A 14291-nucleotide genomic window follows, 5' to 3' on the forward strand; every position below is an offset into this window, starting at 1 on the left:
TGGCAGCAAATCCATCTCCCCTTGACAAGTACAATAAGATCATCCATTACCATGATTCTGTTCAGCCAGTAGGAGGAGGAACCAGAAATGGCAAAATAGAACAGATCATTTCCCTCACTGGGAGTGATTGGCGCTAGTAACCCCCTTGGATTTGAAATTGTCAAGAGATAGTTCTGACTGAGGTTGATCAGTAGAGCTAAATTGCCTAGTTCCATGACCTTGCCAGGAACCAAGTTTTGGGGTTGATGTGTCCACAGTGTCAATAAGCCCAGTGATCACCCCTTCGACCATTTTACCTTCTTCCTGGAGTAACTTCAGGATTTGAACATGTGTCATCCTGAGCCTTTCCTCCAGGGGGTCCTCTTGTGAGTGGTGGGTGTCCAGGTGAGTGGTGGGTGAGGGGTAATAGTGAAGTCCCTGTCTTGGCTAGCAACAGACACCAGCACATCTCGCTGTTGGACAAAAGGAGAAGCAGCCACCGTAAATCTTCCTCAAGCTTCCTGGCCCTTTCACATTGCTTGTGTGGCCTGAATTATCTCACATGATTGTTTTCTTAGTTGCTCAGGTGAGCTCCGTGAAGGGAGGGATCCACAAAAGTGCCCAGTAGACTTTTGCACGGCCCAAGTCCAATCTTGCAAGGGACAGTTTATGAATCAGGGACCCACCTGCAGGGCCATGAGCTTGGCCATAGCTGGAAGGTCATGTTGCAAAGCCATTGAGCCCATCAAGGGAGGGCTGATATTCTTGGACTGGCTGGAACTGTGGGGCTTTCCAAGAGTAGAGTACGCATATGCACTTTACTAGGTCTGTCCACAAAAGTGAATCTGACTATATAAAGGTTAAAGAGCACTTATAAACTCAGTGAAATCGGGCATTACATAAATGCTGCTTCATCTCGGCACAGTTAAAATGCAGCTGCTGTGACATGTTTTAGGTATGTGTATATGTACATACATATATATGTGCAAGTATGTTTGTTCATATTCATGTTTTTCACAAATTATCTTATTTCAAGATTAAGTTGGATGTGATATTATGACTTGTACATGACTGTGTACTCAGACATGCATTCTAAAGTATGAATAAAGTTAAATCATATTTCTCCCCTCTAAGTCAGTCAAAATGGGGAAATTATACTGAGTTAGGGGATATGTGTGAGGAAAAATAAACATGTGTGTTAGCATTAAGTAAGCAGAGCTTTGAGTTGTGCAGTTAGAAAAAAATTGAAGTGCAGAACTAAGCAAATAAATGGTGAATTCTGCCCAAAGAAACTGTCAATTTGCAAATCAGAATCATGATAGCTGTCTAAAAATCTGTCCACTTTACATGAACTGCAATAACTGCCTTCCTTCCTACTTTATTTAGATAATTACTTCAACTTCTGATTTTATTTTGCTATCACGTAGACAAAATTTAGGCAAGAAAAATCCCAAAACACTGATCTTCCATAGTTAGGCTCCTCAATTGTAAAAGTAATAGACTGGATCCAAAAACTTTCTACGACTAATATTTATAAACATGTTTTTATGTAATTGTATTTATCTTTTTTAATCTTCCAAAAAATTAAAAGCATAATCACTAATATCTGTGTATTTTGAGTGCTCATGCTTGTTTAGAATCAAAATTCAATGCCCAGAGTGGTGAGACTGTATCTTTGCAAGCTTCTAGTATACACACCCTGCACCTGATATTAAGAACCCAGAATTAACAGTTTTTTTTTCTTTCTTACTTTTTAATATATGGCTTGTTCCTTTAGAGCACTATTGAACTTCAAAACCAAACCTATTTTCTCTAATTGTCAATGGAAGCACTGGGTTACCATAGTTACATAGTAAAGTGTCTTATTGAAAAGAAGAAAAGGAAGACTAATGACATTTTTAATGACAGATTCAAATATATAAGGAAATTGCCCCCACAGGGAATTGGGAATTTATCAAGCTGCCAATCACAGTAATTACCCTGCAAACATATCAGTATCTGGGTCAGAAACTCCTTTCAGATTTTCTATATGCCAGTTCTACAATGCCTCAAAATTTTGATCCCACAAGTGAGGCAGATCCTGTTGTGAATGCCTGTTTTCAATTAGTATGGCTGCATGAGCACACACTCCAGCAAAGGTAAGCAGAGCATGCTTGGTAGCATGCTCACAGGAGAATTTGGTGCACCAGCCCCGGAGAGCGCCTAGTGTGCACCAAGTATGTGTTTCATTACACCGCTGTATTCCCCTCATGTAGGAAAGTTGCTGCAGACTGATACGTCAATGATCTTACAGTATTTTTAAAGAAAAGTACCAACACCTGGGTGATAAATTAATCTTTACAACAAACCCCCGTGACACAAGTTTACCTATAACAAACCTGTACACGTACCCCTGAACTTAAAATAAAAGTTAAAAAGAAAAGTACCATCCTCCCACAGGGTCAAATACATATGTAGTCGATACAAGATACTTCAAAAAAGTCTTATACAATGAGATTTGGTTTTGCAGCTTAAATTTCTTCAATTTAAGGGTACATCAACAAGGAATTTATTGAAATACAGTGTATCATACAAATAGAATATTCACATGAAATGATCAAAGGAAGGGGTAAGGAGAAAAGTATTAAAACTGAAAATTTACCTAGTGAATAAGTGGACATAACAATTGAGAATCTATCCACTTCATGTCACTTATGGAAACAACACATTAAGATTAAACTACATGTTTGCTAGAGTAGGAGAAAGTATATACCACAGGGACCATCATTACTCTAGAGTGGGTCTATGCATAACTCCTCAAAAAGAGGCCATCGTTGGTGTTTATGTGCTAAAAGTTGTGTATTTTGGCTTCTGAGAACCATAAAATTGACTCAAAGAATAGTTTCAAAGAGTAAAAGAAGAAATGCGTGACAATTGAAGACATGGAATTAAATTGGTTTGTCTCTAACTGCCTCTTAGTAATCAAGAGTTCTTGCTTGGCAAAACCTCATAAAAACAGATTTAGGATTTAAGACAGTGTCAGTAAATTGGTACAAGCCCATACACAAGTCCTCAAAGTGATGGACAACTACTCAGAAAGTAAAAAACCTGGGATCAGTACAACGTGATTTAAAAATGAGAAGTGAATGATTATTCTGGATTTAATTCTTATTTACTAGGCTACTTGGTTCTTTGTGTTTAGTAGTATTTTATCTATTTAAGTTCCCATAATAGATGTATCCAGTATATAGAACAATAGCTAAATACTCAGAGAGGTATGGCGAGAGAGAGAGAGAGAGAGAGAGAGAGAGAGAGAGAGAGAGAGAGAGAGAGAGAATGAATGACAACCAGCTTGATAATCTCCTAAACTGGGGTGGGGTTTAGGGGAGGAAGATGAGAGGGGATAAGCCTCTTCAAAATCTCCTAGGCTTCTGGATATCTGCCCCTAACTGCACTGGGAGCAACTGCACACACCTGTGGAAAGCAAACTGTTATGGTTTGGCTGTGTCCCCACCCAAATCTCATCTTGAAGTGTATGTAGCTCCCACAATTGCCACACGTTGTGGGAGGGACCCAGTGGGAGGTAACTGAATCATGGAGGCAGGTCTTTCCCATGCTATTCTCATGATAGTGAACGAGTCTCAAGAGATCCGATGGTTTTATAAAGGGGAGTTTCCCTGCACAAGTTTTCTTCTCTTGTCTGCTGCCATGTGAGACATGCCTTTCACCTTCCACCACAATTGTGAGGCCTCCTCAGTCATGTGGAACTGTGAGCCCATTAAACCTTTCTTTTGTAAATTGCCCAGTCTTGGGTATGTCTTTCTCAGCAGTGTGAAAATGGACTAATACACAAACCTTTGTTCCTCCAGTCCTGATCAAAGGTCTTTAACCATGAGTTGCCTATTTCTCAAATCCTTCCTCTCCTACCTAGTTCCTTCAGTTCCAGAGCTACAGGGACACAGCTAAGTCACGGAAACACCCATGCTTCACGTCAAGATCATGCCACATATTCTCCATGGAACCTAAGTGGTGGCCCTCCATTTTCCATGTTCCTCAATTTACCCAAAGAACCTATCCTCCTCCATTTTTTAAAGGACACAACAGTTCACCAAAAATGATTCCTTATCACCTAAGTGTATCCTTCTTAATGACGTTGTCAAATTCTAATAAAGTGCCTCTTATATCCATGTGCTAAGTAATAATTCAAATATTAAAAATAAACACAAATATTACAAGGAGTAATACAATTGAGTCATGATAGATTTTCTAAAAAGGATTTGATTAGAAACTTCCATCAAAAACTATCTAAAACGTGTTTTGCATTATAAACTTTTATGCATTTTATTCAAACCAATTTTCTTTAAGTAAAAACTTAACAGTGTCATCAAAACCACACTGATACAAAGATTCCATTTTCCTCTTGCTTGGGGGAAAAAGGGCTTGGTTGAGTCTCACCAGGTTTGCCAGGGACAACTAGAATAAAAAGACCAAAATTTAAGCTGTAGGATATTGCAGTACAGGTAAATATACACTATTTTTATAATCTAGGTTTTCTTATCACAGATACAATTAGCAGTAACAAAAAATCAGTAGGAAAAATTTAAACTTCAGAAGTTACCTCCACTGATACACTAAAGGAGAGTTTCTCAGCCTTGGTACTGCTGACATTTGGGGCCACGACGTCTTAACTGTGGGACAGTCATGTGCACTGCAGGACGTTTAACACCATTCCTGGCCTCTACCCACCAGATGCCAGTAGCACCACTGGGACATGATAACCAAAAATGTCTAGTACAATATCATCCCATGTGGAAAACTATTAGACTAGATTAAGGGAATCAGTATTTTTATGTCAATTATTCATTTGGGTCCCTAAGTTTTTCTCCACTATTTTTATATATTTCATTACCTCCATCTTTCTAAGCAAATAAATGATTTTATTTAAAATTGCTCTGGGCCAGGCGTGGTGGCTGAGGCCTGTAATCCCAGCACTTTGAGAGGCCGAGGCAGGTGGATCACTTGAGCCCAGGAGCTCAGGACCAGCCTAGGCAACACAGTGAGACTTTGTCTCTGCAAATAATTTTTTTAAAAAAGTAGTTGGGTGTGGTGGCACGCGCCTGCAGTCCCAGGTACTTGGGAGGCTGAGGTGGCAGGATTACCTGAGCCTGGGCGGTCAAGGCTGCAGTGAGACATGATCTTGCCGCTGCACTCCAGCCTAGGGGACAGAGCAACACCCTCTCTCAAAGAAGAAAAAAATTGCTCTGATATCCTACCAAGTTTATTGATGTAAAAAAGAAGTGAAGAAAAAGCAGTGACAGTTAATAAGCAGCAAAAATGGGTGGGCGTGGTGCATGTCTGTAATCCTAGTGCTTTGGGAGGCCAAGGTGGAAGAATCACTTGAGCCAGGGAGTTTGAGACCAGCCTGGGCAACCTAGTGAAACCCTGTCTCTACAAAAGATAAAAAAATTAGCCCCGTTCCTATGGCTGATACATGTTATAAAGTATTAAACAACACACTAAGGAGAAGATGCAACTCCTACCTACAATTATCAATGAACTTCCAGTGCTTGGGAAACACGTTGAATTCTGTGGGAATTTTTAGTAGATCAGAACTCTTCAAATATCACTGAACATAATTACTCACCATGATATCCTGCTTGGCGATATTAACATACAGATCTAGCTGCCCTTTGTCCTGCGGGGAGATGTCCAGTCGTCCACTGAAGGGGGAGATGGTTACTGTCCGGCCGACGGGCAGGATGGGAAGAGCGTTGGTGAGGCCTCCGTCCACCCACTTCTGTGGAAAGAAACATCTCACGTCAGCACACGTCAACAACACATCCTGCACAAAGAAAAGCAGCTTCTAATAATATGTGTGCCTTGGATATGCTTTTAAATTGCTATTTTTGAGGACTAATCCCATTGGGGATCTGTTCTGGGGGTAAAACAAATCTTGGTACACATATCACTTACCAATATAAGAACAACTCTGGACAGAATTTAACTAGATTATTGTCTGTAAGACTTGAATTCTTACTGACTACAGTGCATGCTTAAGAAGCCATGTGTAATTAGATTGGGGTTCATTATTTAATCAAACTAAAAAGTCAAATTTACTGTGGATGCTGAACAAAACATCCACCAGCAGAGGAGGTTCCATTTTTATTATATGAATTGGAAACTGGCATTTTCTGTGGCAAACTTAAAAAGTAAATACAGCAACTAGAAATGCTTCTAATTCCAAAGTGGTTCCTGTGCTCTTGAAGCAAGGGGCATGTCCTGAAGCCATAAGGAATGGGAGTGCTGCATCAAAGCACACATTCCTCAGTAGGCACTCAGTGCTCTCAAGCCCACCGCAAAGGGGAGTGAGTGATGGAGAAGGCGGAGGACAGAAGCCTCCCAAGGAAGAAAATGAAAGAGTCTTGGGGCAATGAGGACGGACAATGAGGTGCTCAAGGTGTGTGCAGCCTCAGCCCCTAGCTCTACAGAAGCGCACAATGAGAAATGGTGACTGAAGAACCACACAGACAATATTCCTTCTGCTGTCTATTCCAAGGCCAAACAGTCTCAATGCAGCCATGATCTGATGTATTCACATGATCAGCTATAGCACTCAATAAACACAACACACATGGAAATAACACCCAAATTGTCTAAGTTTATCTGTTATTAAAAATAGCCTTCAGATAATATACAAAAAAACAAAAAGTCTGGTAACAGTTGAAAGTCCTGTATGCAGGAATCTTTAGTGAAGTTTGTAAACTGAGTTTTGCTTCAATGTGTAAAATGCAATGCAGATAAAACAAACCTTTGTTATTCAACATAAAGGTGGCAAGAGGAGGGAGAAACAGGCCAAAATAAAATGTTCTCAACTCACTTAAAACCATGCATTTATTTCTTCCAATGTGTCTTTTTCATGTCCTTCTTGTGTTTATTTATTTATTTATTTATTTATTTATTTATTTATTTATTTGAGACAGAGTCTCGCTCTGTCGCCCAGGCTGGAGTGCAGTGGTGTGATCTCAGCTCACTGCAAGCTCCGCCTCCCAGGTTCACGCCATTCTCCTGCCTCAGCCTCCCGAGTAGCTGGGACTACAGGCGCCCGCCACCATGCCCGGCTAATTTTTTGTATTTTTAGTAGAGACGGGGTTTCACCGGGTTAGCCAGGATGGTCTCAATCTCCTGACCTCGTGATCTGCCCGCCTCGGCCTCCCAAAGTGCTGGGATTACAGGCATGAGTCACTGCGCCTGGCCAATTGTGTTTATTTCTAAAGCTGATGACAAAATGAGTGGTATTACATTATTTACAAAGGCTCTGGACAGCCACAAACTCCTCCAAAGGAAATAAAAGTAAATAAATAAAAGATAAAAATGGGTTGAAAATTCCTTTTGAGAGAATTGCATTTTGGTGGAGGAGAGAGTATAAGTAGATTGGATTAAAATAAAACTGACCTGCATAATTTGCATATTGTCATTATTTTTAAAAGATATAAAGATTATGATATATTATGTGTTATGTGTATTACACATACTTATTTATATGTGTATGTGTATATGCATGTACACATGTGTTTGTGTATGTGTGTTTATATATGTACCCATATGTATACATAAAATATAGCTGGTTATGTAACTGTATGATCTAAAAGGGAGGTTTGCAAAAAAAAAGGCTCCAAAATATCTGATTCTGTCCCAGAACCTGCTTTTTTTCCCTGATTGCTTTAGGTGTAAATATCAAATTCTGGAATAGGATAATACCCAGAAGGGAAAAGAAAGACAGCTTCCAAAATTATTTCATATTGTCAACAGAAGCTGTCATCAACGATGTAAAAATTCATACAGGTTTCATCAAGAAAAATTAAAGATATGCAACTTTAAGTAACAGCTCTTCTGATTTATTCAACTTAATGAAAAGAAGGGCAATCTGGCTCAGTAAATTAAAAAGTGTTCTAATTTACTGTGGGGTTAATGACTGCTGTTTTAGGGAATCGAAAATCCTTTTTCCAAATTTTGTTCACTCTTGTTAGCTTATTCTGATTAGATAAATGACAAGGGAAAATGTATAGCAGCTTATCAAATCACTTGATTAAACTTGCAATGATACCGGCTCCTTCACAACCCTTGATGCTATAGCCCCACTGCTCAGATATGCTAAATGTGGTACCTCTTACTCCTGATTTATGCTCTCACGAGCTGTATCACTTAGGACAATCACACATTCATTCGGGCATACAGATTCCAGCAGTTTCTGGAAACAACCGTCACAACAACAAATATTCTTCAACCTCCAAATTAAAAGTAGAAACATTTTATATCTTGTGCTCTACTGATAGTTTAAAATCTTGCATAGTAAACACTTCTGCCCATGAATTCTCTGGCTGTTCACAACATATGGCTGTGAGTCATTCCCACCTTCTTGCTTCATGGGCAGCATTTTACATGCTGGTAGCTACTTCCATGAGCTTCTGTGACTCCAAAATTGTCCTTAAGAAAAATAGCTGCTGGTCTACCCCGTTAGAGTTTTCCTGTGTGTTTGTCAGTTTTCATCACATATCACCATCATCCTCAAAGGAAAAGGGAGAGCAAGTACATAAAAATTCCAAGGCAAAATAGTTTCAAAATCATACTCGTTACAGGCTGTACAGTGACCACCTCTCAGTCCCACTGCTAGACCTACTACTCTTTTCTCTAATCTTTGGCCATATTCTAAATGTGTTCCACATTCAAGTCAATGCCTGAGTCCTAAGACATAGAAATAAGCAACTGCTCAATAGAAAAACCAAAAACAAAACAAAAAAACTCATGCCCAATTGTGGGGCAGACATCTACTGTGATTGTTCTCTGAAAGTTATAGCACTGAAAACTGGAATTAATAGAATCACTTCTAAAGAGATAAGGCTACCCATTACACCTAAACAGGCTAGAATATTCATCTGGCAGTACTTGTTAAACTTCGCTTTAGACATTCATGTGTTATGGGTAGCTATTGAGAACATGCCTTATGAATTCAAGTAACTGCTATTACATAACGCAAGTGGAAAACTTAAGAAAGGACCTGATGAGTTAACCTGTACTGAAAGGGCCAGTTTATTCATTCAGCAAGTGATCCCTGAGCATCTAGTGTGTGTCTGGATGTATGGTAGATGCTGGGGATATGTTTTTGATAGAACTTCCATGAAGGGCTCCATTTTCTTAAGGTATATTTTGCTCAAAAAACAAGTGAATAAAAAATACTTTGCTGGAAGAATGAATGTTGCTATCTATAATTATTATAAATACCATGGCAGAGGGCCTAGTAGTTTAAAAGTGATTTCACATGTATAATTTAATATGCGAACCCTGTAAGGCAGAAAGGTCATGCTTGTATATTCAGTTCCCTCATGTTACAGAAGAGGAAACTGAGGCTTGCAGGTTTCCTTGCTATAGTTCACGGGGTGGTAAACTACGACCCACCATCTGCTTCAGTAAATAAAATTTTATTGGCACATGACCAGGACCTTTTGTTGAGATATTGCCTGCGGCTGCTTCCCTCTACTACAGCACAGTTGAGTAGGTGTGTTGACAGAGACAATGTTGAAAGCATTTGCTATCTGATACTTTACAGAGAATAAAACATCTATTGCTATAGAATATACAGGCAAGAAGGGATAGTTGTCTTTTCACTTCAGGTTTTTTTTCTCGCACACTGTAAAATTCAGGGATGCTCGATGGGGCAGGGCAAATTAGAACTGATTTCTGAGGGGTGAGAAAGAAGTAAATGTGCTTTGAACAATAATTTCTTATTTGCAAACATATCTGCATTGCTTTCATGAGATAGCCTACAGACAGCAATGCCCAACAATGCTCTTGATTAGCAATTCCTAAAATAGAAGGGAGAGGGAAAGAGACAAAGAGATATCCACTTCCTTAGACACAGGTGAGAATCTTCCAATTACGGTGGGAAGAAGAGACAGATGAGATTTTTTAATCAAAGAAAGACAAGTAAAAATACAATTCTAAAAGAGAGGTTGAGAAACCTGCCATACTAACCTCTACTAAGCATTGATTCTTGGTGCATTGCTTTCTTGGTTTTTGCATGTGTGAAGGATGATTAAAAATGATGACTCCAGATATCTACTTTTGAGAAGGCTCTAAAGGGTTAACAGTTGACCATCTATAAACACCATACAGAAAATTTTTCCTAGAGGACTAACATGTTGTTTCAAAAATTAAACAGACAGTGCAAAAAAATCTAAAAAGTGACTGAAGAATAAGAGCGTCTATTTCAGAATAACTAGAAATTGATATCCAGGTTTCCATCCAGCCAAATCTAGCTGGTGGCAAGGCCAGCTACCACTGTTTGCTATGACAGTGACAGAGCTGCATTTCCATGTAAAAAGTCTAAGCCACGAGGAAATAGAAGCCTAAGGACCACAGTATCAACCTCATATAAAAGCACAGTTACATGGAGTATTCCACAATTCTCTTTCCCACACAAGTGTCAATAATGAAAGGAAAAATGACCCATATCCGCATGGACTAGGGTAATACAACAGTGCATTTTCACGTTCCTGTAATAGTATATACTTAATCTTAACCAAAAGGCCAAGAAGCGATCTTGTAATACTACACAGTCAAAATATTACTTGAATTCCAACTCAGATGAAAGAAACAATGCAAAATCCTACAGCTTTTCTTTTCTTTTTTTTTTCAGACAGAGTTTCACTCTTGTTGCCCAAGCTGGAGTGCCATGGCATGATCTCTGCTCACTGCAACCTCTGCCTCCTGGGTTCAAGCAATTCTCCTGCTTCAGCCTCCCGAGTAGCTGGAATTACAGGCATGCGCCACCATGCCCGGCTAATTTTTTGTATTTTTAGTAGAAACAGGGTTTCACCACGTTAGCCAGGCTGGTCTCGAACTCCTGATCTCAGGTGATCCGCCCGCCTCAGCCTCCCAAAGTGCTAGAATTACAGGCGTGAGCCACTGTGCCCAGCCAACCCTACAGCTTTTCTTCTGATCTGCATGTGCCAGTTCTGGAGATGATTTTATTCTGATATTTTAGTCACCTGCCAATGCTAATTCTATCTCTTAAAACAAATGAGTTAAGAATTCCTCTTGAAAATTTTCATTCTTATTCCAAATTGACAAGAATCTGTGAAAACATGGCCTAAATGTGTGAACATTCCTGTGGATTTATTCTACCACTGGAAAGAGTTCATATGTAGTAAAGAAAAATCATTAGTCAAAAATATAGGACTAAACTTCAATTTATTTCCATTCATTCACTGACAAATCTATTAATGAGTATGTACTATAAGGTATCAAAATAGTCATAAGATGAAGCCAGAGAAAGCTACAGAACTTTTTAAAATAATATTTTTTAAAAAGCAGTTTTCTTTCTTTCTTTTTTTTTTTTAAACAGGGTTTCACTCTGTTGCCCAGGCTGGAGTACGGTGGTGTGATCATAGCTCACTGTAGCCTCAACCTCCCCAGGCTCAGGTGATCCTCCCACCTCGGCCTCCAAAGTAGCTGGGACTATAGGCACATGCCACTATGCCTGGCTAATTTTTGTTTTTTTTTTTTTGTAGAGACAGGGTTTTGCCATGTTTCCCAAGTTAAAAAGAAAAAGCAATTTTCAAAGACATCATTCCACTTTAAATCACTGGTAGAGGGTTTTGAAAGGACTCATACTGGTATTTGCTGTGGTTGAAATTAATCTTAAGTCTTATTAAGGTATGATTCTTCTAAGCGATTAATAAAAACATTTTTTAATGCACATATTGGATCCACAAATATATCTTAATAAAATCCAGTAATACCCGCAATGTAGAAATGAGGAGGTCTGTGTATTTAACAAAAGTCACAAGTGGAGAGACTAGACTCTGCCCCTGTTGGCTGAGTCCCACTTTCTCTGCCTTTCCTGACTCAGTGCCACAAATATAAGTAACGCTAAGTCCCTTTTTCCCCTTCTGCCACCTCCACTTTCGTCACTTCAGAAAAACAACTAAAGACAACAAATACATCAAAACCTGAGCTGTATGAAAACATGAAAATCTAGAAAATAAGAGGTGTATTCAGCACAACTGAAATGTTTATGTAATTTAAGTCACATAAAAAGCTTATACCCACATTAAAACACTGCATTTAAAGCAACATTCACGCTTCCCTGAAAATGGAAAGGAAAGATTCTAGAAAACAACTCGGCATGGAAGCCCTATTAGAATGTGGGAGGTGATCAGGCTTAAAGAGAGTTAGTGTTAAGCAGAGAATGGCACTTCTAAATTGTCCCTTTCTGGTGTTATAAACAATGCAAGGCCGCTGTGGCTCTCTGTCAATCATGTGCATGAGGCCCCCTTATTGTGGACTCCATTAAACAACAGAGGAAAACTGAATGCTTTCAGGAGACATAAGGTTCAACTCTACAAGTAATTATTGGTGTGCCTCCTATGCACAGACACCACATGATCAGCAAGACACTGTCCTGGGACATTGTCCAGGGTCAAGGGGCTTGGGTGGGTCGCTTTCCATCTTCCTCACAGTTCTGGGCCTGTGCGTTCCCTGCTGTTTAATTGTGGCTGTCACTCTATGTCCATGTCCAAAGTACTTAATCACATCATGGAAAGTTCACTAGAAACTGATTCCTCATTCATGCCCTTTTAAACATTGCTAGTCTTCCTGTCACACACCCACAACATGGCGCTGCGGCTGGACAGGAAGAAAACAAGGAACGCATTGTTTGAAAAGAACTAAAGGGCAAAGCAGAGTAAGAGGCATAGCAAAGATAGAAACATTAAGGACTATCTTGGGGAAGTTGACCCCTTCCAAGCTCAGTGACTTCAGTGAAGTAGACTGATGTCTTTACATCTCAATTTCCTCACATGTAAAATTGGAAGTAAGAATCCCTACAGCAGATAGCACTGGATTCTGGTGTATACAATAATAACAAAAGTTTTAGGCTGGGCACGGTGGCTCACGCCTGTAATCCCAGCACTTTCGGAAGCCAAGGCGGGTGGATCACGAGGTCAGGAGATAGAGACCATCCCGGCTAACACGGTGAAACCCCATCTCTACTAAAAACACAAAAAATTAGCCGGGCTTGGTGGCATGCACCTGTAGTCCCAGCTACTCAGGAGGCTGAGGCAGGAGAATGGCGTGAACCCGGGAGGTGGAGCTTGCAGTGAGCTGAGATCGTGCCACTGCACTCCAGCCTGGGTGACAGAGTGAGACTCCATCTCAAAAAAAAAAAAAAAGTTTTACTTCTTTTTTCTGGTAACAGGAATATCGAGGGCAGGCTGGTAAGGTAGACTCCTCAAATCATTTAGGACCTGGGTATTTCCAGCTCACTATTTGGCCATCTTCAGGGTGTGATCCTTGACCTCATGATGAACAAGAGCTGCTGGAGCTCCAGTAATCACATCTAAGTTCTGGGCAACAGGAAAAATGGAAAGATATACAACTTTCCTTGTACTGTAAGTCCCACAGTTATTCGGCTCACATGTCATTGCCCAACAATGAAATAAATGGCCACACCTAACTGCAAGGGAAGCTGGGATGTATAACCTAGCTGCACAGCCACAGGTTCAGATAAAAATTGGGATTCTGTTACTAAGAAAGAAGAAGAAAGTGTATATTGGAAGAGAACCTGGAGCCTCTACCACCTGCCTCTCCTTCTAAGATAGAAACACTCTTAATTTGTAAGTGAGAGACTGGCGTAATAGGGACATAGAGGAAAAATATTCTAATCTCCTAAGTGGCAAAGTAATTTTACTTGTCAATTCAACATTAAGTATTTCAAATGACAGCATCTGAATATGTGGAATTTTACCACTCACTCTCAACCCATTACCTTCTGCTCTATCAAAACATACATTCTCCATATTACCTGAAGCCTATTATGATTTGCACTAGAGAGAAAAGAAAAAATTCCAAAGCTCAGCAAAGCTCAAGGAAAGACACTGATGAGGACCGATGAGATCAGAACAGAGACACTGCCTCGATCCTATTAGCCAAAGGGTTTGTAAAACTCAGTTCTTTTGTTGAGAGACCATCAATTCCTTGAGCACAGGCCTGGTGCTGGGCCCTCAAGGTGAGTGGGTGAATGAATGAATGAAAGATGGTTAAAGCACTTTGTATGTACTCTTTTATTAATAAATAAATATATATTACATATATATAAAATAAATGTAATTTATTCATCCTGAATATATGCTTGATCTCTGATATATGCTAAATAGATACTTTATTAGATATATGCTAAATACTTTTATTATAAAATATATATCTCTGATATGTATGAAATATCTACTCTATTTGATTATAAAACATATCTCTGGCATGTGTTAAATAGGTACTAT

At 39.5% G+C, this 14291-nt stretch overlaps 1 protein-coding gene across 3 annotated transcripts in view; it reads right to left on the minus strand.

The window, feature by feature from the left end:
- The window catches only part of PNPLA4 (patatin like domain 4, phospholipase and triacylglycerol lipase), a 29478-nt gene continuing 17047 nt past the window's right edge, over positions 1861–14291 (minus strand). For all 3 annotated transcript variants that reach the window (NM_001172672.2, NM_001142389.2, NM_004650.3), the window contains 2 exons: positions 5603–5755; positions 1861–4431 (listed from right to left, as the gene is read on the minus strand). In NM_001172672.2, coding sequence (NP_001166143.1) covers positions 4300–4431; positions 5603–5755 — 285 coding nt within the window. In that variant the 3' untranslated portion in view covers positions 1861–4299. The remainder of the gene's footprint in view (positions 4432–5602; positions 5756–14291) is intronic.

This window comes from Homo sapiens, chromosome X, assembly GCF_000001405.40.
Source record: "Homo sapiens chromosome X, GRCh38.p14 Primary Assembly".
NCBI classification, from domain to species: Eukaryota; Metazoa; Chordata; class Mammalia; order Primates; family Hominidae; genus Homo; species Homo sapiens.